At 43.1% G+C, this 25,150-nt stretch overlaps 1 protein-coding gene and 1 pseudogene across 1 annotated transcript in view, besides 1 other annotated feature; both read left to right on the forward strand.

Annotated features, from left to right (window-relative positions):
• Positions 1 to 25,150, forward strand: part of RAB31 (RAB31, member RAS oncogene family) — a 154,251-nt gene that overhangs the window by 56,014 nt on the left and 73,087 nt on the right. Inside the window, exon 2 of the mRNA NM_006868.4 lies at positions 10,964 to 11,043. Within this exon, the coding sequence (NP_006859.2) occupies positions 10,964 to 11,043 (80 nt within the window). The remainder of the gene's footprint in view (positions 1 to 10,963; positions 11,044 to 25,150) is intronic.
• Positions 7,051 to 7,100: an enhancer, noted in NCBI's record as "active region_13078". NCBI's record gives its function as "activates an Ori minimal core promoter by ATAC-STARR-seq in GM12878 lymphoblastoid cells {active_cell/tissue: GM12878}" and the evidence as "EXISTENCE:reporter gene assay evidence [ECO:0000049][PMID:35858748]".
• ZNF415P1 (zinc finger protein 415 pseudogene 1) lies at positions 20,813 to 23,552 on the forward strand (annotated as a pseudogene).

Consider the following 25,150-nt stretch of genomic DNA (forward strand, 5'->3'; position numbering starts at 1 on the left):
CTTGCATACTGCTGACTGCACGTACGGTGAATCAGTGGATGAATTCGTGCATGCATTTGTGCGTGCCTCCTGGAGAGATGGTTTGGCTGGTGAACAGTGCACTGGATATGGGGAATGGGAAATCTGAGTCTTGACTCTGCCCTTACTAGTTACAGGCCCACTGGGAGAATCCATGTTTTCCTTATGCGGGAATTGAGGATGAAGCCATCTCTCCTCCCCTTGACAAAGGGCTGCTGTGAGGACCAAGTGAGATAAGTGTGTGAACATGGGTACACGGGCTCCCATTTGCACCATCGAATCATCTTGTTTTTGTGGCTTCCATGCCCTTCCTTTCCGCTTATTTTTTCGTATTCTCTGGTAGGATGTTTTACATCTCTCCTGGCCATTTTTTTGTATCTTAAATGTGGCACCTTATTCTCTGTATGTGGGCTTCTGATTCTTTCATGGAGGGAACTGTGGACATTTCCAAGCTATGCTCATTAATGTCCACGGGGCATTAATCTAAATGCTTGAGTTCACTTATGCCATGTATTAGTTTAAATTTACTTCTGTAAGGAATATTTTCCCTCATGAGGTAGATAGATAAAATGAAGTCTAGTGACTCAGACCCAGTGCAGAACCCACCTTTTTCTTTCTTTCTTTCTTTCTTTTTTTTTTGGAGACAGAGTCTCGCTCCATTACCCAGGCTGGAGTGCAATGCCGATCTTGGCTCACGGCAACCTACGCCTCCTGGGCTCAAGCAATTCTCTTGCCTCAGCCTCCCATGTAGCTGGAATTACAGGCTCTCGCCACCACGCCTGTCTGATTTTTGTATTTTTAGTAGAGACAGGGTTTTGCCATGTTGGCCAGGCTGGTCTTGAACTCCTGGCCTCAAATGATCTGACCCCCTTGGTCTCCCAAAGTGCTGGGAATTACAGGTGCGAGCCACCACACCCGGCTGCCCAGAGCTTTTTATTGATACTGTGTTTTCCACAAATAATTTTGTGTTATGGTTTTCTCACTACAGTAACAGGCCTGGAGTTGCATTTTCTTGCATTGCTAGCTCAGTTTTTCCTAGAACAGAGTGTGAAGACTGAGATTTACTCTGCTTGAGTGAGATCTGCTCTCTCTACCCCAAAAGGAATCTTATAGAATGGGTGGTAATAACAACAGCACAGGATGGACTTGAGTTTGATAATGTTTTCTGCTTTTATGGCACCTTATTTTTGGTAGTGGTTACTGTGTAAAAATCAGACCTTTTTCTCTTCAGTGCATAATTGTCCCTCTGGTGAAAAGTGCTTGAGGTACAGAGGAATTATTTCATACCACCAACATAGTATTTAGGGCCCAGAGCAAACAGGCCCAGTAAGTCTGTAATCTGATAAGCCCTGGAATGGGATCCAGGTGCAAAGTACTTCCGATCTCTTTGACACAAAGGGAGGCCTAGACACAGACTCAAGTGAGGAAGGAACTGGAGCTCTCCCGGGAGTTCACTGGTAGTTTGAGGAGTGATGTTCGTTGTTTTAACCTCCAGTCTTTGGTCCAGCCAACTGATAGAATACTTCACTTTGGGGACCCGAGACTCTTGTTGGGTATATAGGATTGGGGTTTTCTGTTGATTGCTTTGTAACAAACCTAGTGTAGGGGGCCGGGTGTAGGGGGTGGGGGAGAGTGGGTGGGAGGAGTATATTCTCTTCCCCTTAGGCAAAGCTTCAAAAAAGTGCTTTGTGGGTTAATATGGAATTTGTGCCATATTTCTGTGGGGTTTCTTTGAAATCGAAAAGGGAAGGTGCAGTGCTTCCTGGATTGAGCTTCCTGAGCCCGTTTGTCTTCTGCTCTGAGTTGACCCTGGTTTTGGGGCTGTAGAAAGGGGAGGAGTAGCCATCCAGTAACCCTGGCCTGGATTGCTAAGGCCAGGGCCCGGGAGCTGGGCTCTCACTCTTTCCAGACAGGGCTGAGGCACCCTCCTGCTCCAAGATGTGGAGGCGCCTTCCTGCGTGACCTCATCTCTGCATCTGCGAGCTCCATCTGCCCCCGGAGTGGGTGAGCCAGGCAAGCGTGGCACTGCCCTCATTACTATGCACTGCCTTCGCTTGCAGGCATCTCCACACAAGGACCTGCCTGGCAGGCGGGGTGGGCTGAGGCGGGCGGGTGGGGTGTGTATGCTGGTGTCCCAGGTGCCTGATGGGACCTTTACTTCTTTTGGTCACCTTTGGAGTCAGAACAGTCCAAACTGTTAACCATGCAGACTTCTGCCTGTTTCTCTCTTTATGTTATTTCTTTATGCCCACAAGGTCTGCTGCCCTGTACAGGCCTCCTGAATTCCCTAACTTAACTCCTTGTCAATGCTGAAGATGCTGAAGACGTTTTAGAAGCATGTGGCTGGGCGCATGGCTCACACCGGTAATCTCAGCACTTTGGGAGGCTGAGGTGGGGATCGCTTGAGGCCAGGAGTTTGAGACCAGCCTGGGCAATATAGTGAGACCTCATCTCTACCAAAATAAAAATAAAAAATTAGCCTAGCATGGTGGTGTGCACCTGTAGTCTTAGCTACTTGGGAGGGTGAGACAGGAGGATTTCTTGAGCCTGGAAGGAGTAGGTTGCAGTGAGCCGATGTTGTGCCACTGTAATCCAGCCTGGGTGACAGAGTGAGATCTTGTCTCAAAACAAACAAACAAAACCCCAAACCAAAACAAACAAAAAGAAGTATGTAAGCCTTAAAGTCTAAACATTCAACTAAATGGATGACTGAATACAAAAAATAAATGCAAAAATCCTTCTCATACAGATTATCTCTGATTCCAAGACCAGAAGGAGATGCTGGAATTATCAGTGATCCCCAATGGGATGTCATGCACAGAGTCAGTTTTGTAGTGTACATTATAGGCAAATCATATTCTCTCTCTTTCTGAACATTCTGAGAAGAATGCACTCAAGGTTTGAAAGACTATCATGTATGCCATAATTTTTGTGCTTAGTTTTTTTTCTTATTTAACTACATTCTGAGGAATGGAATCCCTGAGTTGATGGGTCTTGTTAGTGTTATTTCCTGTCCATAAGAATCATGTTGATTTATAATGTTATCAGCAATGTATATCCCTTACCAGTTTACTCAAACACCTCACCACCTGAAGATTTCTGAAAGTCTGCGGAGCAGTGCTTAGTGAGTTTGTAGTAAAGGAGTCAGTAGGAGTATGGTGGATGTCGTGAAGAGAGACCAGAGAGGACAGCCTTTTCTTCTCAGTGCCCACTTTGATCGAGTCACAATTATTCCCTGCAGGGCTGGGTCGAAAAGATTTTAAGGCCCTTTTCACGTTCAATAAGATAATGTGTCTTGAATTGATTACTGATGTCTGCCATGAGAGCAGGATTAAGTAGTCGCGATCTATTTGCCTGGGAGGTATCATTCTTTTTTAAAATTATTATTTTTATTATTATTATTACACTTTAAGTTCTGGGACACATGTGCAGAACGTGCAGATTTGTTACATAGGAATACACGTGCCATGGTGGTTTGCTGCACCCATCAATCCGTCATCTACATTAGGTATTTCTCCTAATGCTATCCCTCCCCTAGCCCCCTGCCCCCTGACAGGCCCCAGTGTGTGATGCTCCCCTCCATGTGTCCATGTGTTCTCATTGTTCAACTCCCATTTATGAGTGAGAACATACAGTGTTTGGTTTTCTGTTCCTGTGTTAGTTTGCTGAGAATGATGGTTTCCAGCTTCATCCGTGTCCCTGCAAAGGACATGAACTCATCCTTTTTTATGGCTTCATAGTATTCCATGATGTACATGTGCCACATTTTCTTTATCAAGTCTATCATTGATGGGCAAGTCTTTGCTATTGTGAACAGTGCTGCAATAAACATACGTGTGCATGTGTCTTTATAGTAGAATGATTTATAATCCTTTGTGTATATAACCAGTCATGGGATTGCTGGATCAAATGGTATTTCTGGCTCTAGATCCTTGAGGAATTGCCACACTGTCTTCCACAATGTTTGAACTTACACTCCCACCAACAGTGTAAAAGCATTCCTATTTCTCCACATCCTCTTCAGCATCTGTTGTTTCCTGACTTTTTAATGATCACCATTCTAACTGGTGTGAGATGGCATTTCATTGTGGTTTTGATTTGCATTTCTCTAATGACCAGTGACAATGAACTTTTTTCCATATGTTTTTTGGCCACAAAAATGTCTTTTTTTGAGAAGTGTCTGTTCATATCCTTTGCCCACTTTTTGATGGGGTTTTTTTTTCTTGTACGTTTGTTTAAGTTCTTTGTAGATTCTGGATATTAGCCCTTTGTCAGATGGATAGATTGCAAAATTTTTCTCCCATTCTGTAAGTTGCCTGTTCACTCTGATGATAGTTTCTTTTGCTGTGCAGAAGCTCTTTAGTTTAATTAGCTCTCATTTGTCAACTTTGGCTTTTGTTGCCATCGCTTTTGGTATTTTAGTCATGAAGTCTTTGCCCATGCCTATGTCCTGAATGGTATTGCCTAGGTTTCTTCTAGGGTTTTGGGGTTTTAGGTCTTAGGTTTAAATCTTTAATCCATCTTGAGTTAACTTTTGTATAAGGTGTAAGGAAGGGGTCCAGTTTCAGTTTTCTGGATATGGCTAGCCAGTTTTCCCAACACCATTTATTAAATAGGGAATCCTTTCCCCATTGCTTGTTTTTCAAAGGTTTTTCAAAGATCAGATGTTTGTAGATGTATGGCATTATTTCTGGGGCCTCTGTTCTGTTCCATTGGTCTATATATCTGTTTTCATACCAGTACCATGCTGTTTTGGTTACTGTAGACTTGTAGTATAGTTTGAAGTCAGGTAGCGTGATGCCTCCAGCTTTGTTCCTTTTGCTTAGGATTGTCTTGGCTATACGGGCTCTTTTTTTGTTCCATATGAAATTCAAAGTAATTTTTTCTAATTCTGTGAAGAAAGTCATTGGTAGCTTGATGGGGATAGCATTGAATCTATAAATTACTTTGGGCAGTATGACCATTTTCACGATATTGATTCTTCCTATCCATGAGCATGGAATGTTCTTCCATTTGTATGTGTCCTCTCTTATTTCGTTGAGTGGTGGTTTGTAGTTCTCTTTGAAGAGGTCCTTCACATCCCTTGTAAGTTGTATTTCTAGGCATTTTATTCTCTTTGCAGCAATTGTGAATGGGAGTTCATTCATGATTTGGCTCTCTATTATTGGTGTATAAAAATGCTTGTGATTTTTGCACATTGATTTTGTATCCTGAGACTTTGCTGAAGTTGCTTATCAGCTTAAGGAGATTTTTGAGCTGAGACAATGGGGTTTTCTAAATATGCAATCATGTCATCTGCAAACAGAGACAATTTGACTTCTTCTTTTCCTATTTGAATACCCTTTTTTTCTTTCTCTTGCCTGGTTGCCCTGGCTAGAATTTCCAATACTATGCTGAATAGGAGTGGTGAGAGAGGGCATCCTTGTGCCGGTTTTCAAAGGGAATGCTTCCAGCTTTTGCCCATTCAGTGTGATACTGGCTGTGGGTTTGTCATAAGTAGCTCTTATTATTTTGAGATACATTCCATCAATACCTAGTTTATTGAGAGTTTTTAGCATGAAGTCGTGTTGAATTTTATCAAAGGCCTTTTCTGCATCTATTGAGATAATCATGTCATGTAGTTTTTGTGATTGGTTTTGTTTATGTGATGGATTACGATTATTGATTTGCATATGTTGAACCAGCCTTGCGTCCCGGGGATAAAGCCAACTTGATTGTGGTGGATAAGCTTTTTGACATGCTGCTGGATTCAGTTTGCCAGTATTTTATTGAGGATTTTTGCGTTGGTGTTCATCAGGGATATGGGCCTGAAATTTTCTTTTTTTGTTGTGTCTCTGCCAGGTTTTGGTATCAGGATGATGCTGGCCTCATAAAATGAGTTAGGGAGGAGTCCCTCTTTTCTATTGTTTGGAATAGTTTCAAAAGGAATGTTAGCAGCTCCTCCTTGTAGTGGGAGGTATCATTCTTAATCTGGAGGGATAGGAAGCTTGAAGGCCGTTGCAGGAGTCCAGGAATGAATCAAGTGTTAGTGCTTGGTTTTCACAGATTGGTGGTGCCTAGCGTTTTGTGTGGCAGCAGCCAAAACTTTGTGGTTCCTGATTTCATAATTATAGATTTACATGTGATTAATAAGTGTGACAATTCAAACAGCAGGGGTTGTCATTTCAGAATAAGTGGTTGTTCTCAGAGAGGAATCTCATATGAGGGATCCATTTCCCAGGAAGTAGATGGAACCAATTGCTGGGCATGAGTACGTCTCTGATATCGACTATACAAATGATTATACAATGAAACACTATCTGGCCCACAGGTAGGGTTTTACTGTACTTTATTTCAGGTTCTGGAGTCAGAATCGGGTTTATTCTAATGTCTCCCCGGCAGTCAATAATTTGAGCCCCTTTCATTACTGTTAAGGCTGCAGCGGCTATCTTCAGAGCCTGTCAGGCTATGAGTAACTTGAGCTATGCAACGTGAAACCAGAAAGCACTAGTAAAGTACTTGTGAGTTCTAGAAATTTGACTTTTTTTTTTTTTTTTTTTGAGAAATTTAGGCCAGTGTGGTGACTCAAGCCTATAACCCCAGCACTTTGGGAGGCTGAGGCCGGAGGATCATTTGAGCCTGGGAGTTTGCGTTAGCCTGCCCCACATAGCAAGACCTTGTCTCTGCAAAAAAACCCCTAACATTTAAAAATAGCAGGGTGTGGCGGTGCACACCTGTAGTCTCGGCTACTGGAGAGGCTGAAGCGAGAGGATCACTTGAGCTCAGGAGTTCGAGGCTGCAGTGAGCTATGATTGCACCACTGCATTCCAGCCTGGGTGACAGAGCAAGACCCTCTCTCTTAAAAAAATAAAGGAAAAATGTACACTTAGCAGGGAAGTTGATTTAACCTAGTGAGAGCCTTAAGAGGTTTTGACTAGGACTCAAAAGAGTTTGGTTCTGACTCTACCAACCAGCTATGTGACCTTGAGGAAGTCACACTGTTTCCTCTTTACCAAAACGAGGGGACTGGACAAGACGGCCTGTGGTATTCTCAGAATCTTACGAAATGGAATAATATATACATAGATGGGTTTCCGTCAGTGTGGCCCTAAAGACAGGCCTCTCTGATCCTGTCTCTCTCTTCCAAGGCTCCTTCTTCACCCAGTAGGCTTCATTCTCTTTTCTGAGTCCTACCTCTGTGTCTTCACATGCGACAGCCACTATTACCCTGGCACTTTCCTTGTGTGTGTGTCACAGCCCTAGCGAGTTTCCTGCGGGGAAGGGCATTCCCAGCGCGGAGTGACTCCTTAGCCTGGCTCCTGGCCTGTCCTCAGCAAACCGCGGGTAGGGTGTGCCCCTGGTGGCCAGCCGAGGAACAGCAGTCGCCCCTGGAGGTCGGGAACTGCATCCACTTGAGCGGTCCCAAGCCACGGGTCAGAGAGGATTCGATGGTGGTGTTCTTTGCAGAAATGTTTCCCTTTCTGAGACAAACTAAAACTTTGTCTATCCTTTCGTCCTGTTATTTCTTTCCTATCAAGTGTGTAAGAATGTACATTTGACAGTGCATTCTAAAAGAGGTGAGAGTTAAAATGTTTCAAAATAAAGAGACAGTGACTTTGTTGTTTGAAAAATCAGTGCTTATATCTAAATTTGAGCAGACTTGCTGCTGTAACTCTTCAGACAAGTTGGCGTTGACGCTTGAGCCCTTTGTAGAGGATGATGAGTAAAGCTGAACATTGAGCATTGTCAAGTGACTTCTTCCCTTTTCCGCCTTCAAGGGCGTTTTGGGGCTGGCCTTGCAGGATTGATTTGTTGGCTGCTTTGAGACTTGTGTCCATTGTTTTGAGCACATCCCTTGGGAGAGTAAATGATAGATTCCAAAGGGGTGCTTTTCAGACCAGCGCCCCCACCGAGAAGATGCACCCTCAGCCCTGTGCCCCAGGGGCACGTGAGGGAACTGAGCAAGCACCTGCAGCCTAAGGAGGAAGGCCCCGGGGCACACAGAAACCAGGCGAGGTTTGTCACTGGGTGATAGGGTAAGCCTGGGTATCAAGGAATGAAAAAAAGGAGCAAATCGAGGAGTTGTCTCCTGAGCTCAGAGGGGCCACAGGTGGGGCAGCCCCATCACCACTGTGTGCTGGTCCTCCTGCCGTGTGCCTGGCCCTGCTTAAGAACTCCTGGAGGCCAGGGAGGGTGGAATGGTATCTCCCCGCCAATGGGGTCTAGCCTGCTGTTGGCATGGGAAAGGGAGGGTTTGGGGAATGCCTGTTGGGCGAGTGAAGAATGAGTGAATGAACGATTGAATGGAATAGCCCTGAGAAGGAGAATTCCTAAACTGTGATGGAGAAAGGTAGAAATGAGCGTGGTCGGTGTTGGGGAGAGGTCCCCACCCTGCCTCCTTGGCAGTTTGTAGGAATCAGCTGGCCTCATGAAAGTGTGCTGCCTGCTGTAAGGGGCAATTTCCTAATCTTCAAGGGCAGGGCAGGGCAGGCTGTCACAGTTCCTCAGTGTCCAGTTTCTTGGGGGCTACGTGGGCTACAGTCTGGCAAGGATTTGCTCCTCCACAGGGGGTCTTAAGAACAACTGAGATGAAAAGAGTTGTGGTTTGGGGGACTGCGAGGGAACATGAGCCAGAATCCATACTTGAGGTGCAGCTCAGAAATAGCAGCGGCATCAATTGGCATCTCAGGAGCTGATGTTTTGATTCTGCCGTCACCTCTTTGAACTCTGTGCATCGATTTGCACGATGCAGATAAACAGCAGCTTTGGTGCTGTGTTTGTTAGGGCTCAGGGTCAGTGCAGGCTGCTCTCCTTGGGAGGCGAGACCTTCTGGAGAGGGGTTTTCTGATGAGTATTAAAAGCCAAGTCCCCTGTTGCCCCAGGTTTGCTGGAATTGTCCCCCAAACACAGGGCTGAGAAGGAGTAAAAATAATTCAGATTGCCAACTGGTATTTCAAATCCCACTTCATATTTCAGTGTCTGAAGAAAACCACATTTCTCTGAATTTCAACATTTCATCCTTGATCTTTTGGCTTTCAAATTTATACCTTTAATGTAAGAGAACTGAATCAGCTATTTTTTCATTCTCTCGATAAATCACTTGTTCCCGTTTTGTGTATAGTTTTCAGAACGCCTCCACGATCCTTCCAGTAGGAACATGTTGGCAACGGCGATCGGTGTTGATAAAGCCTTGGGTCCTGTGTCCTCTGCCCTTCCTGCCTGTCTCAGAACAGCAGCCATTAACAATTGAGGGCAGATGCTTTTTTCTACTTTCTTCTACTTTTGGGGCAACTTCCTGACTTTATTTTCTAACTCCTCCATGAAATTTTAATTTCTGCCATCATATTTTTAATATATATATTTTTTGAGACAGAATCTCACTCTGTCACCCAGGCTGAGTGCAGTGGCACAATCATAGCTCACTGCACCCTTGAATTCCCGGGCTCAAGCCATCTTCCTGCCTCAGCCTCCCAAGTAGCTGGGACTACAGGCCCATGTCGCCACACCCGGCTAATTTTTACATTTTTTTGTAGAGTCAGGGGTCTTGCTATGTTGCCCAGGCTGGCCTTGAACTCCTGGCCTCAAGTGTTCATCCTGCTTTGGCCTCCCAAAGTGCTAGGATTACTGGTGTGAGCCACTACACCTAGCCATATTTTAAATTTCTAAGAGGTTGGTTGTATTCTCAACGATCTTTTAAAATAACATCCTGCTGTTTTGTGTGTGTGTGTGTGTGGAGGGGAGCATATAAATGTCAGGTATTTCTTAGTGAGTGATTATATTGAAAAAGTTAAAAATGTAAGTTGAAAGCTCTGTTTGTATTGGGGCTTGTCAACTGCTGCACACATGGCCTTTGGTTAGGGGATCCCAAATATCGGGAACTCTAGAGCTTTTTTTCTCCTACCTAAAGGGGAGCCTTCACTGCTTCTGTGTGGGCTTATCCAGCTTAGGGTGAACAGCACCTGGCCCCTCCCTTACCTGTGCCTGATGTCCCCAAGCCCAGCTCCGTCCGATGCAGGCTTCCTGGAGAGTAAAGCTCTGACCCTGGTTATGTGGCCTGGGGCTCCAAGGGTATGTTGTTGTGTGGCCTTTCAACTGATCTGTTTTCAGCCCTCCATTGCTTGATGTTTCCTGAGGTTCTGCGGCATGAATTGACTTGCTTCTTTATTGGCTTCTCTCCCTGCCAGCAGTTTGGTTTCAGCTTCTTCATTCTCAGGGACCGCTTGTCCTCCTGGATTTTGTTGATATCACTTGTCTGGTGTTGTCTCTTCTCCTATCTCTTTGACTTTGTGAATTTGTGTCTTTTATTTCTTAAACCACTTTACAAGGGCTTTGGAAGGGAGTGGATATAAATGCGTGCATTGAATTTCCAGTGTGTAATTGGACCCTCGTCATAATCAGCTTTAAAGAATTATTTAAGAGAGAAAGAACTGAGACAAGACCATTATATAATTAAGCAAAATTTGGAAGTTATTACCCAACCATCAGATTCTACAGAGAAAATGCTAGAAACATAGAAACTAGAATTAATAGGTCTTAAAGGGTGATGCCTAGAGAAACAGATTACGTGTCTTTTGAATGCAAGGTTTTGAACAGAATGAATTCTGTTTCTGCCCAAACAATGTGGTATGTTCACGTACTTCTTCTCTAGAGCCCTCCCAAGATTTCAGAATTTCTGAAAATACATCCATAGTGAACATGTTCATTTTTGGTTAAATATTGTATACATGTCAGACATGTTTCTGAAACTGATTTTTACCATACTTCTTTTCTTTCTGTGAAAGCAATACAATTTTATTATAGAAAATATTGGTGAGAAATAGAAGAAAATATCCCCCCACTCCCTCTCCCAGTCTCATCAACCAGAAATAGCCAGTCGTGTCCTCTGGTAATCTGTGAGGTCAGTTAACCTCACAACCTGTGAGTTGCCGCCCTTCATCTTCACGGTTGTATCCTCATTCTTTCCTAGGACACTGGGGTTGGGAAATCAAGCATCGTGTGTCGATTTGTCCAGGATCACTTTGACCACAACATCAGCCCTACTATTGGGTAAGTTCCTGTATGTCATTCTCCTTCGCGTTGCTTCCTTTCACGGCATCAGAATGACCACTCTGTCTGTGCCTGAGCCTTCAGGCAGGGCCACAGTTTTCATCCCAGCCAGTGAGAATCAATCCCAGCTGTAGACCGACAGAAATTCAGGGACTTCTGAGTATGTGTCCAGGCTTACTGTCCCTGTCGGTCATTTTTTTTTTCCTAGTCAGCCTTCCTCATGCTACCTCCTAAGGTCATTTCCTTGATCTCTGAGAGCATTATTCTGCAAATCTTGGCGTTATTTCCAGTTGGAAGACGATATGCAGAGCAAACCCCTGATAGTTCTGCTTTAAGTTGCCTGCTAATAAACCCTGAAAATGCCATCCACCCGTACCTCAGCACTGTCTGCAAAGTCTGTGGAGCAGATTGACTTTCCTTTTCTGGAATTATCTTTTTTTTTACTTCTTGAGACTGAGTGTTGCTCTGTCACGTTGCCCAGGCTGGAGTGCAGTGGGGTGATCTTGGCTCACTGCAACCTCCACCTCCAGGGTGGATTCTCCTGCCTCAGCCTCCTGAGTAGCTGGGATTACAGGTGCGCACCACCATGCCTGGCTATTTTTTTGTATTTTTAGTAGAGATGGGGTTTCACCATGTTGGTCAGGCTGGTCTTGAACTTCTGACTGAAAGCAGTCCACCTGCCTCAGCTTCCCAAAGTGTTGAGATTACAGGCATGGGTCACTGCGCCCAGCCCCTTTTCTGGAATTATCTAATGCCAGCATTTCCACTGTCATGTGTGGGGAGGGGTGGAAGTGCATTGTTAAATTCTCCTGAGCTTGGGATGCAAAATTGTTTTCCTGTTCATCTCCCCTTTCCAGTGGGCTCCTTGGCCGCGTGTGCTTTGGCTCTGCTGTTCGGGAAGTGCCTGCTTTTTCATTCTTAGAACGTGGCCTCTGCTTATTTTTCACCCTGAAGATATCAAGTCTTTGTAGGCAATGTATGTCTTTGTCTGTATGTTTTGGGAAACCTGTAGGATTGTTGAGAATGGGAGAGTGTATCAGAAGTGGAGAAAAATCATGGCAGGGAATAAATAGATGCTCAAGAGTACTTGGCTGATAGGCCAGTAGTTGGAACTGTGTAGCTGAGAAAACCCACATTTTGTAGATTAAAAATGACTTAAAGAAACATACTCATGAAAATATCAAGAATTAGGAAAGGTCTGAGATTTTACCCTAATTGCAGCCTGCAACTTGTTAACAAGTTAGCAGTTGTGACTTGTTAGCCTGACTCAGTTTCAGGGATGCTGGCAGAAGACAGAAGACCCCCGAGTCACAGACAGAGGCAATAGCAATAGCCAGAGTATTCACAAAATAGGGTGACATTAGAGTCAGACACCTCACATGCAGGGGGCTGTGTTACGGGAGCGGAACCCCAAGCTGAGGGAACGCAAGTCTTCTACATGGGGCAGTGAGCACATCTGTCCTCAGCTACAGAGAGAGACTCTCCCCTCCAAGGATGCTTGCTGTGCAGGTTGAGCATCCCTAATCCAAAAACCTGAAATCCAGAATGCTCCCAAATCTGAAACTTTTGAGTGCCAACATGACGCTCAAAGGTAATACTCAAAATGCTCATTGGGATATTTCAGATTTTGGAATTTCAGCTTTGGGATGCTCAACTGGGTAAGTATAATGCAATTATTGCAAAATTTAAAAAAATATATATCCACCGGAAGCGGTGGTTCACGCCTGTAATTCTAGCTCTTTGGGAGGCCTAGGTGGGCAGATCACATGAGGTCAGGAGTTCAAGACCAGCCTGGCCAACACGGTGAAACCCCTCTCTACTAAAAATACAAAAATTAACCAGATGTGGTGGCACGCGCCTATAGTCCCAGCTACTCGGAAGGCTGAGGCAAGAGAAGGTGGTGGTTGCAGTGAGCTGAGATTGTATCACTGCACTCCAGCCTGGGCAACAGAGCGAGACTTCATCTCAAATAAGTAAATAGATAAATAAATAAATCCAAAATTCAAAATAATTCTGGTACCAAACATTTTGGATAAGGGATACTCAACATGTACAAGCATCCTTGAAAACACAATCCGGAAAAAAGTGTTTACTTGCAAGATGTGCACGTTGTGAGAGACCATAAAGAATTGTCTCCCAACATAGGCGCGCTTGTATGATAGGTATACTTTTTATGGAAGAAATTGGTTTCACTCTGCTCTGAATGTACTTTTTTCTCTCTCTCTCTTATTTTTCACTTTGTGTGTGTGTGTATGTGTTTTAATAATAAAAAGCAGAACTGATAAGAGTGATTAACTGTGAAGTATGGTTCCAGAAGATGGAGGAGAGATTTGTGCCTTCTACTTTCTAAACTTTTGTTTAAAAATTTTTTTAAAATAAAATCTTTTTGTAATGACCTTTTTTTTTTTTTTTTTTGAGACGGCGTCTTGCTCTGTCGCCCATGCTAGAGTGCAATGGTGTGATCTTGGCTCACTGCAACCTCCGCCTCCCGGGTTCAAGCGATTCTCCTGCCTCAGCCTCCTGAGTAGCTGGGATTACAGGTGCCCGCCACCATGCCCAGCTAATTTTTATACTTTTAATAGAGATGGGGTTTCACCATGTTGGCCAGGATGGTCTCAATCTCTTGACCTTGTGATCTGCCCACCTCAGCCTCCCAAAGTGCTGGGATTACAGGCGTGAGCCACTGCACCCGGCCTGTAATGACCTTTTTTAAAGTAAAAAGACAGTGCATACTCATACCACAAATTATGGGCAGTACATAAAAATGACAAGCGTAAGTGTTAAGCATAGGTATAGGCATCGTAAATAGGGTAGTTACGTAATTTTGGTCACAATCTCTTGGTCAAAGAAAGTTGCTGTGCCAGCCCAGATTAAAGGGGGAGACACAGGCTGCCTTGTGGTGGCAGGAGCCGTGTGTGCATGGAGGGAGGGTCGGGGATGGATTGCTGCTACCATTTTGGAAACAAACACAGTTGACAGTGTTTTGTCTAGTAAATGCATTTCGGTGGTTTGGAGTTTTAAAAAACTTATGTATTACAATTGACCCTTGAACAACTCGGGGATTAAGGGTGCTGAGCCCCGAGTGGTTGAAAAACCACCTATAACTTTTTGTTTTTTTGAGACGGTACTTGGCTCAAAAGTCTTGCTCTGTCACCTAGGCTGGAGTGCAGTGGCAAGGTCTCAGCTCACTGCAACCTCCGCCTCCTGAGTTCAAGCGATTCTCCTGCCTCAGCCTCCCAAGTAGCTGGGATTACAGTTGCACGCCACCATGCCCAGCTAATTTTTGTATTTTTAGTAGGAACGGGGTTTCACCATGTTGGCCAGGCTGGTCTTGAACTCCTGACCTCAGGTGATCCACCCCCCTTGGCCTCCCAAAGTGCTGGGATTATAGGCGTGAGCCACTGTGCCCAGCCACACATATAACTTTTGACTCCCTCAGAATTTACCTGCTAATACCTGACCATTGACCTGAAGCCTTATGGAGAACATAGTCAATTCACAAATATTTTGTAAGTGATGTGTATTATATACTGTATTCTTACAATAAAGTAAGCTAGATAAAAGAAAATATTACTAAGAAAATCATAAGGAAGCGAAAATATATTTACTATTCATTAAGTGGAAATGGACCATCATAAAGGTCTTCATCCTCATTGTCTTCACATTGAGTAGGCTGAGGAGGAGCAGGAAGAGGAGGGGTTGGTTTTGCTGTCTTGAGCGTGGGAGAGGCAGAAGGGATCGAATTAGAAGTGGGCCCATGACATTCAAACCCATGTTCAAGGGTCAACGGTCTATGGAAACTCTCTGCACTTTCTTCTCAGTTTTTCCTGTAAACTAAAAGTGCTCTAAAAAACTGTTATTAGTTTAAAAATTATGTCTTAGTTTTTAAAATTATGAAAAAATTTATACTATGTAGAAATATATAAAATAAAAAGTGAAGTCAGAGGATTTTGCTAGCTCTTCAATCCCGTATTCTTCAATTTACATAACCAATATTTAGAGTCCAAAGTGCATGTTAAACATATTTCTTATAAGTACTTTCTGTGGACATGCAGGTATACAAGCTAAAAATGAAAACGTATCACACTTTACCTAACAAGCCACAACATACATTCCCAGTCCACTTAGGTCCTCCTTATTCTTTTTCACTGCTGGTTGCCAGCCTCTGGGAAACTGAGTCAGGCTGCCAAGTGATGACTGTTAACTTGTTATTAAGTTGCAGGCTGCAATTAGGGTATAATACAAGTATGCCCCGTGCAATATTTGGGACATGTGTATACTAAAAATTTATTAGTTCTTTATCTGAAATTCAAATTGAACTGGCATCCTGTATTTGTGTTTGCTGAAGGTCACAACCCTTACCTCACCCCTCCTTTGGGCTTAAGCCAAGCTGGTTGGGTTTCCGAGTCTTGCAACCAAAGGGACCTCAATAGAAGCAGGCAGTTGTGCAATAGGGCTTACACAGGTGACTCAACTTTAATTGTGACACAGACAAGATTAAAGTCTAATTGTTTTGATTATAAAAGTTCATGTTCGACTGGGCGTGGTGGCTCCTGCCTATAATCCCAGCACTGTGGGAGGCTGAGGCAGGTGGAACATTTGAGCCCAGGAGTTTGAGACTAGCCTGGGCAACAGGGCGAAACTTGGTCTCTACAAAAAAATACAAAAATTAACTGGGTGTAGTGGCATGTGCCTGGAGTCCTAGCTACTTGGGAGGCTGAGGTAGGAGGATCACCTGAGACCTGGAGGTTGAGGCTGCAGTGAGCCATGATTGTGCCACTCTACTCCAGCCAGGGCAACAGAGTGAAATACTGTTCCAAAAAAAAAAAAAAAAGTTCATGTTCACTCTAAAAAAAACCCAAAGAACACAGAATTCATGAAACTAGGAATCTTAGTGTACATACAGTTTTTTTTTACTCTGTGTTTTCTACTTAATATATTTTGAACATTTTTTACAGTGTCACATAATCTTCAAAAACATGTTGAAAGTATTTTTTCTGATTATAAAAGTATTATATACTCATCATAAACAACTGAAAATGAAAAAAACATGAGGAAAAATATTTTAAAAACCCATAATCTACCTCTTAGAGGTAATTACTGTAAACATTTTGTTATTTTCTTCCAGCCCTTTTCTTGTATAAGTGTGTGTATGCGTTATTTATTCAACATCATTTTGTGAATTTCATGCCATTAAATAGTCTTTAAAAACAATTTTTAATGGTTGTATTTTTCACTTCAGGCATTTAGGTTGTTTAAACACTTTTGTACTTTTATAAATAATGTTATGAGGCTAGACACGGTGGCTCACGCCTGTAATCCCAGCACTTTGGGAGGCCAAGGCAAATGGATCACCTGAAGTCGGGAGTTCAAGACCAGCCTGGCCAACATGGTGAAACCCCATCTCTACTAAAAATGCAAAATTAGCCAGGCATGGTGGTGCACGCCTGTAATCCCAGCTACCTTGGGAGGCTGAGGTAGGAGAATCGCTCGAACCCGGGAGGCAAAGGTTGCAGTGAGACGAGATTGTGCCACTGCACTCTAGCCTGGGTGACAGACAGAGTGAGACTCTTGTCTCAAAAAACAAAACAAAACAGAACAAAACAAAACATAAATAAATAATGTTATGATGTACCTCGTTGGGCATAGATACCCATGTATACTGCTGATTATTTCTTTAGGTTAAACTCTTAGCAATGGAATAATTTAGTCCAAGAATAAAAATCTATTTAAGGCTCTCAATGGATATTACCAAATTGTTTTTCGGAAAGGTTATCTCTGTACCAGCTTTAGGTATTTTTTTTTGTACAATTTTTAACTTTATAAAATTGTAAAAGTTTGTATGATTTTGAATTCTATTCTTTTCCTCTAACTTCAAATGTTCGCATTTTCTCGTAGCTTAATGTTTCTTTGTTAAAACAATTTTACATGATGGCAGCATGGTATTGTGTGCTGTTCTTTTTTCTTTTTTTTTATTTGAGACAGAGTCTTCTCTGTTGCCCATGCTGGAGCACAGTGACGCGATCTTGGCTCACTGCAACCTTTACCTCCCAGGTTCAAGCAATTCTCATGCCTCAGCCTCCCAAGTAGCTGGGATTACAGGCACTCGCCTCCACGCCTGGCTGATGTATTTTTAGTAGAGACAGGGTTTCACCATGTTGGCCAGGCTGGTCTCGAGCTCCTTACCTCAGCTGATCTGCCCGCCTTGGCCTCCCAAAGGAGTTTACAGGCGTGAGCCACCGCGCCCAGCCCTGTTCGCTTTCTACCTCGTCCCTTGCTTTTCCTCTGGAGTCAATGTTAGGCTCAGCCCCTCCACCCTTATGTATTGTCTTCTTGATATAATTTAACTTCTTGATTTAAAAATTGATGAAAATTTTCCCTCTGGAATTTTGAGAAAATGTTTTCAAACACCAGTTGCAGAAAAATAAAGCTAGTGGGAACACTTTCTAAGTGACACATGCAGTTTTCCTGGAAGGTGGCATAAATGGAACACTTTTAAAACGTTTGAGTGCTTTCCCAAAAGCTGGTAGGTTCGGTGGGCTGAGGAACTGGCTTATATTAATATATTTGTTTTGTTCAGCCTTCACAGTGCTGTAAAGACTTTAAGCCAATAGAGAATCAGGAGACTGGCACGTAATAAACTTGCATTCCTGGTTTCTCTTGAAAAATCAGTGGGTTTGGAGCCCTGGTGCCCATTCCCATGTGGTGGGAGCCAGCCGGTGCCACTCCGCATGGGTGGCCAGGCCTCCCGGCTTCATGCCATTCCCGCTAGGTATTGTTACTATTATGTTCATCAGTATAAACGTTCACACCTAGCCTGCTTCACTCATTTATATGTCCTGCCTGGTCCCTAGACATTTCAGTTCCTGGCCCTGGCACTGCCTTCTTGGCGGTAACCCTGCTGGCCACCCCCAGGCCCAGGGCGGTTAGGGGACTTGCCTAGGTGCACACAGCCCGTGAGCAGCCCACTCATGGCTCACACCAGTGAGTCCACTCTCAAAGCCCACCCTTGTTCTTCCCACTGGAATCACACGACCATTGGTACAATGCCATGGGCTGTAAAATGCCATTGCTTCAGCATTAAAAGAGTTAACTCTTATGGCCTCTCTGACTCACACTGAAAAACCTTGGCTCTGCTATTCAAGCAGATTGCATTAACATCTTGAGTGTGTGTGTATGTGTGTGTCTCCCTTTTTATTTCAACTTTTGTAAGGAAATTGTGTAACTTCTCTGCCAGATTTTGGTTTCCACAGATAATGAAGTCAGTTTATCAGGGCCAGTGCGCCTCCTCCACCAGTTTGGAGGGTAATCTACACAGAAGAAAAGATGCCTGAGGTTCTTATTTGTTTATTTGTTTGAGACAGGATCTTGCTCTGTCACCCAGGCTGGAGTGCAGTGACGCAATCATGGCTCACTGCAGCCTCCACCTCCCAGGCTCAAGTGATCCTCCCACCTTAGCCTCCTGAATAGCTGGGACCACAGGTGTGAGCCACCACACCTGGCTGTTTTTAAATTTTTGTTTTTAATTAAATCTTTTTATTTTTGTGGAGATGAGGTCTCACTGTGTTGTTGCCTAGGCTGGATGAGGTTCTTAAGATCAAAAGCTAGCAAAGACTTAAAAACCAACAACAAATCTCAGTCAACAAAAAAAAGCAATGATTGTCGTGGTCCTCATTTCAAATACTGAGAGTCTTTCTCCTAGTGGCGAGAGATCAGGAACACAGAGGGATATGTGTGTGTGTGAGGTGTGCCTTCCTACTATTACTAAAGTTGCTCCTCACAGCTCACTGTGAACCAAGGGGAATTTCGCAGGTATCCATTTCCCTATATGTCCCTACAAACACCTTCTATTCAATGCAGAGTAGGTATTGGCCCCATTTCACAGAACAGGAAACCAAAGGGCTTTACGGGCTGGTTCATTGAGTCTGGCAGTGAGGGCCTCTGCTTCCTCTTCCTGGTTAGGCCACTGCACTCTTCTTTCACCAGGAACCAGGCAGTCTTCTGGGATTTTGGTTCCCCCCCCTTACCTGCACTGTGGAGGGGTTGGACTGGATATTTTATATTTTTTCCAAGATTTTAAAGGCATGAACTTTGTTTTCTAACCCTGAGGAGAACTTTTTAAGGGTAGTAGGGTTGCTGTATTATTTATCGCAGCACCTAGAATATACTGAAGAATAAATGAAAATCTGACTAACATCAAAAGTGAAAACAAAAACAAAATTTTGATAGAGTTGTCTAATAAAATTTTTAAATGAGTTTATGGAAAAAATCTAGAACAAAGTTAAAGGGCAAATGTTAAACTGGAAAAATATTATTTAAAATGTACTACTACAAAAGTTTAGTGGAAAATAGTCAAAAAATGAATAAGAAAAGGATGAATACCACAGTTGAAAGGTGGGCCAAGGTCATGAACTTGAGAAAAATTCCTTTACAAAGAAAAATGCAAGCGAACAATAAATGTTAAAATGATGTTTAAGCTTGTGATAAGCATAATGAATATAAGAATAAGATATTTTCTACCTAACACATTGAAAGAGATTTGAAAGATTAATAATGGTGAGGAAAAGGCCATCTCATACACCATTATGGACATGTAGGTTGGTACCAACTAAGTTTGGCACATGTAGCAAAAGTGGAGTGTATCTATTTTTGTTTTATTTGCTTATTTATGTATTTTTATACATTTATATATTTTTAGAGACAGAGCATTGCTGTGTCACCCAAGCTGGAGTGCAGTGGCACAATCATGGCTCACTGTACCCTTGACCTCCTGGGCTCAAGGGATCCTCCTGCATCAGCTTCCTGAGTAGCTGGGACTACATGCAAAAGCCACTGTGCCTGGCTGATTTTTTTTTTTCTTTTGTAGAGCCAGGGGTCTTGCTATGTTGCCAAGGCTGGTCTTGAACTCCTGGCCTCAAGTGATCCTGCCACCTTGGCCTCCCAAAGTGCTGGGATTACAGGTGTCAGCCACCATGCTCGGCTCTACTTTTTAAAAATTAAGTCTAAGGATATAGTTGTACAGGGACACAAAGATGTAATTATAAGGATATTCACTGAATCATTGTCGTAATAGTGAACAATAGATAACCAAAATGTCCATCGTTAGGGTATTGAATAATTCCATAACATGATGTATGATCTTCAGTCATTTTAGATGATATTGATGTATATTCATAGAAATGGAAAGATTTTAGGTGATTTTTTTTTTTTTTTGAGACAGAGTCTTGCTCTGTCACCCAGGCTGGAGTATAGTGGTGTGATCTCAGCTCACAGCAACCTCTGACTCCTAGGCTCAAGTGATTCTCCTGCCTCAGTCCCCGACGTAGCTGGGATTACAGGCACACACCACCACACCTGGCTAATTTTTGTATTTATAGTAGAGACGTGGTTTTGCCATGTTGGCCAGGCTGGTTTCGAACTCCTGACCTCAAGTGATCCTCCCCCATCAACCTCCCAAAGTGCTGGGATTACAGGTGTGAGCCACTGCGCCCAGCCAATTTTAGATGATATTGATCTATATTCATAGAAAAGGAAAGATTTCCAGGATATATAAAGTTGAGGAAAAGCAAAATTTAGATAGAGTATGATCAATTTTCAGAGCAAAAGTTATGTTAAAATAGAGCGTCCTGCAAACTCGGAAGCAGATCACAAGGGGTGGTCACACTGCAGTGTGATTGACATAAAGACCGATGTTACTTGGGAAGAAGCCTGGAAGAGGAGGAAGAGGAAAGAAAAAGAGTCGAGAACAGCTCTTACTCAGGGATGCTGGACTTTCAGGGATGTGGCTATAAAATTCTTTGAGGATGAGTGGGAATGCTTGGACCCTGCACAGCATCCTCTATACAGGGACCTGATGTTGGAGAGCTACAGGAACCTGGTCTCCATGGCAGGAAATTCTCTTCCTAACCTGAGTATTATCTTCTTGGTGGAGCAAGGGAAAGACCACTGGACAGTGGAGAGTCAAGTGAAAATAGCAAGAAAGCCAAAAGAGTGAGAACGTATCAAAGGTGTGATCAGACTGGTGCTGCAGCTCAAACAGAAACACATGCAAAGATCTTATCATGGTGGACAGCTTTCATCTGGTAGGGTGTCATGATATATATGTCATATTTGCATATATATAGGTTTTCACTTACAGTTCCTGGCTCCTAACTCCCAAACCCTTGTTATAATCTTGGGGCACTTTAGGCCTCAGAAAACAGAATCACTATCTGACCTTCTCCTGTCCTCCTTTTACCTGCCCAAGGCAGGACTCTAATCTGATCGCAGGTCATTCCAGAGAGAGTCCTGCCCCATCTTCTAGAGGAAGGATGCTACTCAGAGAGGCCAAGAAGAACCTGAACACACAGGCCTTGCTGGGTTTTGATCATGCACTTTTTGTCCAATCACATTTTTACAAGATTGTTAAGAATGCCTGTGTAGGTCGGGCACAGTGGCTCACGCCTGTAATCCCATCACTTTGGGAGGCCGAGGTGGGTGGATCATCTGAAGTCAGGGGTTTGAGGCCAGCCTGACCAACGTGGTGAAACCCCTTCTCTACTAAAATTACAAAAATTAGCCAGGTGTGGTGGTGCATCCCTGTAATCCCAGCTACTCAGGAGGCTGAGGCAGGAGAATCGCTTGAACCCAGTTGCAGTGAGCTGAGATCATGCGACTGCACTCTAGCGTGGGCGACAGAGTCAGACTCTGAGAAAGAAAGAGAGAAAGAGAAAGAGAGTAACAGAGAAGAGAAAGAAAAGAGAATGCCTATGTAATGAAGCCTCTGTCAAAAAAAGGAAAGGAAAGAAAGAAAGAAAGAAGGAAAGAAAAGAAAAGGAAAGAAAGAAAAGAGAATGCCTATGTAATGAAGCCTCCATAAAAACTTAAAAGAAAAGTGTTCAGGGCACTTCTGGAGAGCTGAGTTTCCTGGAAAGTGGCGCCCAGGGAGGGCATGGCAGCTCTGTGCCCCTGTCTGCTTACCTTGCCCTAAGCGTCTCTTCATCTGTATGCTTTGCAGTATCCTTTATGAGAAACTGGTCACTATAAGTAAGTGTTTCCTTGGTTTCTGTAAGCCGCTGTAGCAAATTAATCAAACTCAAAGAGGGGTTGGTGGGAACCCCAACCTGAAGCCTGTCGATCAGAAGTTCTAGAGGCCCGGACTTGGGACTGGTGTCTGTGGAGGAGCACTCTTGGGTACTGAGCCCTCAACCTGTGGGATCTGACAGTATCTCCAGGGAGAGAGTGTCAGAATTGAATTGGAGGACACCTAGCTGGTATCTGCTGCTGGTGGTGGGAGAACCCCCCACAGATTTGGTCATAGAGGTTCTCTTCTGTGTTGATGGTTGTGGTGTGAGAACAGAGGAAAAACATGGTTCTAGAGAGTTATCTCCTACACATCTGGCTTCTGGCAACTCTGCTTCCTTCTCTCGGAGGGATATCTTTCCTGTATATGCAATCAAGGAATTATCTGCCAAAGAGAAAAGTAATACAGGAGAAATATTCCACACAGTGTCATTGGAAAGACGTGAAGCCATGACGTTGAAGACTTGCTTCAGGGAAATCCAGAAAAATAGAAACTACTTTGAGTCTCAGTGGAGAAGTGATGAAAGCAGTTACAAGAGTGCCTCAAAAAAAATCTCACTGTTAGAAGAGACCAACATGATAGAAGGGATGCAGGCAACAAGCCTATTAAAAATCAGCTTGGATTAAGCTTTCAGTCATATCTGCCTGAACTACAGCTATTTCAAGCTAAAGGGAAAATTTATGAATGTCGTCAAGTTGAAAAGTCTGTCAGCAATGGTTCCTCAGTTTCACCACCCCAAAGAATTCCTTCTAAGCCCAAATCCATATTTCTAACAAGTATGGGACTTACTTAATCTATTCTTCCTTACACAAGAACAGAAAGCACACATTAGGGAAAAACCTTACAAATGAAATGAGTGTGGCAAAACCTTTAATCATGACTCACTCTATGCTGTATATTAGATAATCCATCCCAGAGAGAAATGACATAAATGTGATTTATGTAGCAGGGTTATTAGTCAAAAATAAAACCTTGCACATCATTGGAGAGAGTTTATACTGGAGAGAAACTCTACAAATGTAATGAATGTGACAAGGTTTTCGGTCACAATTCACAACTTGCAAGACATTGGAGAATTCACACTGGAGAAGACCCTTACAAGTGTAATGAGTGTGGCAAAGCCTTCAGTGTGCAGTCAGCACTTACCATCAGGTGGTCCATACTGGAGAGAAGCCTTCCAAATGAAATGAGTGTGGCAAGGTCTTCATGCACAATTCACTTCTCCCACAACATCCAATAATTCGTTCTTGGGAGAATCCTTACAAATGCAATGATTATGGCAAACCCTTCATCGTGAGTTCAAGCATTAATTGACATCAGAGAGTCCATACTAAAGAAAAATCATAGAACCGTAATGTATGTAGGAGAGGCTTTATCCACATTTCACACTCACAAGACATCGAAATAAGCATTTTTGATGAAACCACAGAAATGTAATGTGCCTGCTGAGGCTGTCGCCCAAAGATCGAAACTGTAGACCATCAGAGGAGTCAGATGAGGAATGACTCAGTCTTTAGTTCTCCAAGATTAACTTTCGACATTTCATACTGCAGAACAATTACAAGTCAAAATATGTTAAAACTCATGACATGATATCTATCAAAGGTACCAGGATGTTGGGCAGTGGCCAGTTAACTTCAGGTTATGAAATATTTTATTCAATTATTTGAAGATTCTTGAAAAGGCTACTTTACTATTTATGACTTTCAACTTGAACTTTGAAATAAAAGGGACGAAAATCCAGAATATACAAGCAACTCAAACAACTCAACAGCAAAGAAAACCCAAATAAAATGATTTAAATTGGGCAAGGAATCTGAGTAGACATCTCTAAAAAGAAGACATACAGATGGCCAACAAGTTTGTGGAAAAATGCTCAACATCACTATCATCAGGGAAATGCAAATTAAAAACCACAGGAAGATATCATCTCTCTCCAGTTAGAATGGCTATCATCAAAAATACAAAAAATAACAAGTGCTGGCAAGGGTGAAGAGAAAAGGGAATTCTTGTATTCTGTTGGTAAATTAAGCACTGTGTACATTAGTACAGACATTATGGAAGACAGTATGGAGGTTTCTCAACAAAGCTAAAAATAGAACTGCCATACAATCCAGCAGTTCTACTACTGGGTATTTATGCAAAGGAGAGTGAATCACTATATCAAAGGGATACCTGCACTCACAGATTTATTGCTGCACTATCCACAACAGCCAAGCTATGAAATCAACCCAAGTGTCCATCATCCATCAACAAATGAATGGAGGCTGGCGTGGTGGCTCACACCTGTAATCCCAGCACTTTGGGAGGCCAAGGAGGGTGGATCACCTGAGGTCAGGAGTTTGAGACCAGCCTGGCCAACATGGTGAAACCCCATCTCTACTAAAGTAAATTACAAAAATTAGCTGGGCATGGTGGCACATGCCTGTAATCCCAGCTACTTGGGAGGCTGGGGCAGGAGAATCGCATGAACCTGGGATATAGAGGTTGCAGTGAGCTGAGACTGTGCCACTGCACTCCAGCCTGGTTGGCAGAGTAAGACCCCATCTCAAAAAAACAAAACAAAGCAAAAATGAATTAATGGATAAAGAAAATGTGGTATATATACACACTGGAATACTATTCAGCCATAAAAAAGAATGAAATCCTGTCATTCATGGCAACATGGATGAACCTGGAGGACATTTCGTTAAGTGAAATAATCCAGACACAGAAGGATAAATACTACATGTTCTCACTCATATGCAAGAGCTGAAAAAAAAGAGCTCATAGAAGTAGAGTAGAATTGTAGTTATTAGAAGCTGGGAAGGGTTGGGGGAGGGAAGGATAGGGAGAGCTTGGTTAACAGTTACAAAGTTATAGCTAGACGGGAGGAAAATATTCTAGTGTTCTGTAGCACTGTAGGATGAATAAGGCTAACAATAATTTAGTGTATATTTTCGAAAAGCTTGAAGAGAGGATTTTGGGTGTTCACAACACCAAGAAATGATAAATGTTCAAGGTGATGAATATGCCAATTACCCTGATTTGATCATTACACATTGC

This window comes from Homo sapiens, chromosome 18, assembly GCF_000001405.40.
Source record: "Homo sapiens chromosome 18, GRCh38.p14 Primary Assembly".
In the NCBI taxonomy this organism is placed as follows: Eukaryota; Metazoa; Chordata; class Mammalia; order Primates; family Hominidae; genus Homo; species Homo sapiens.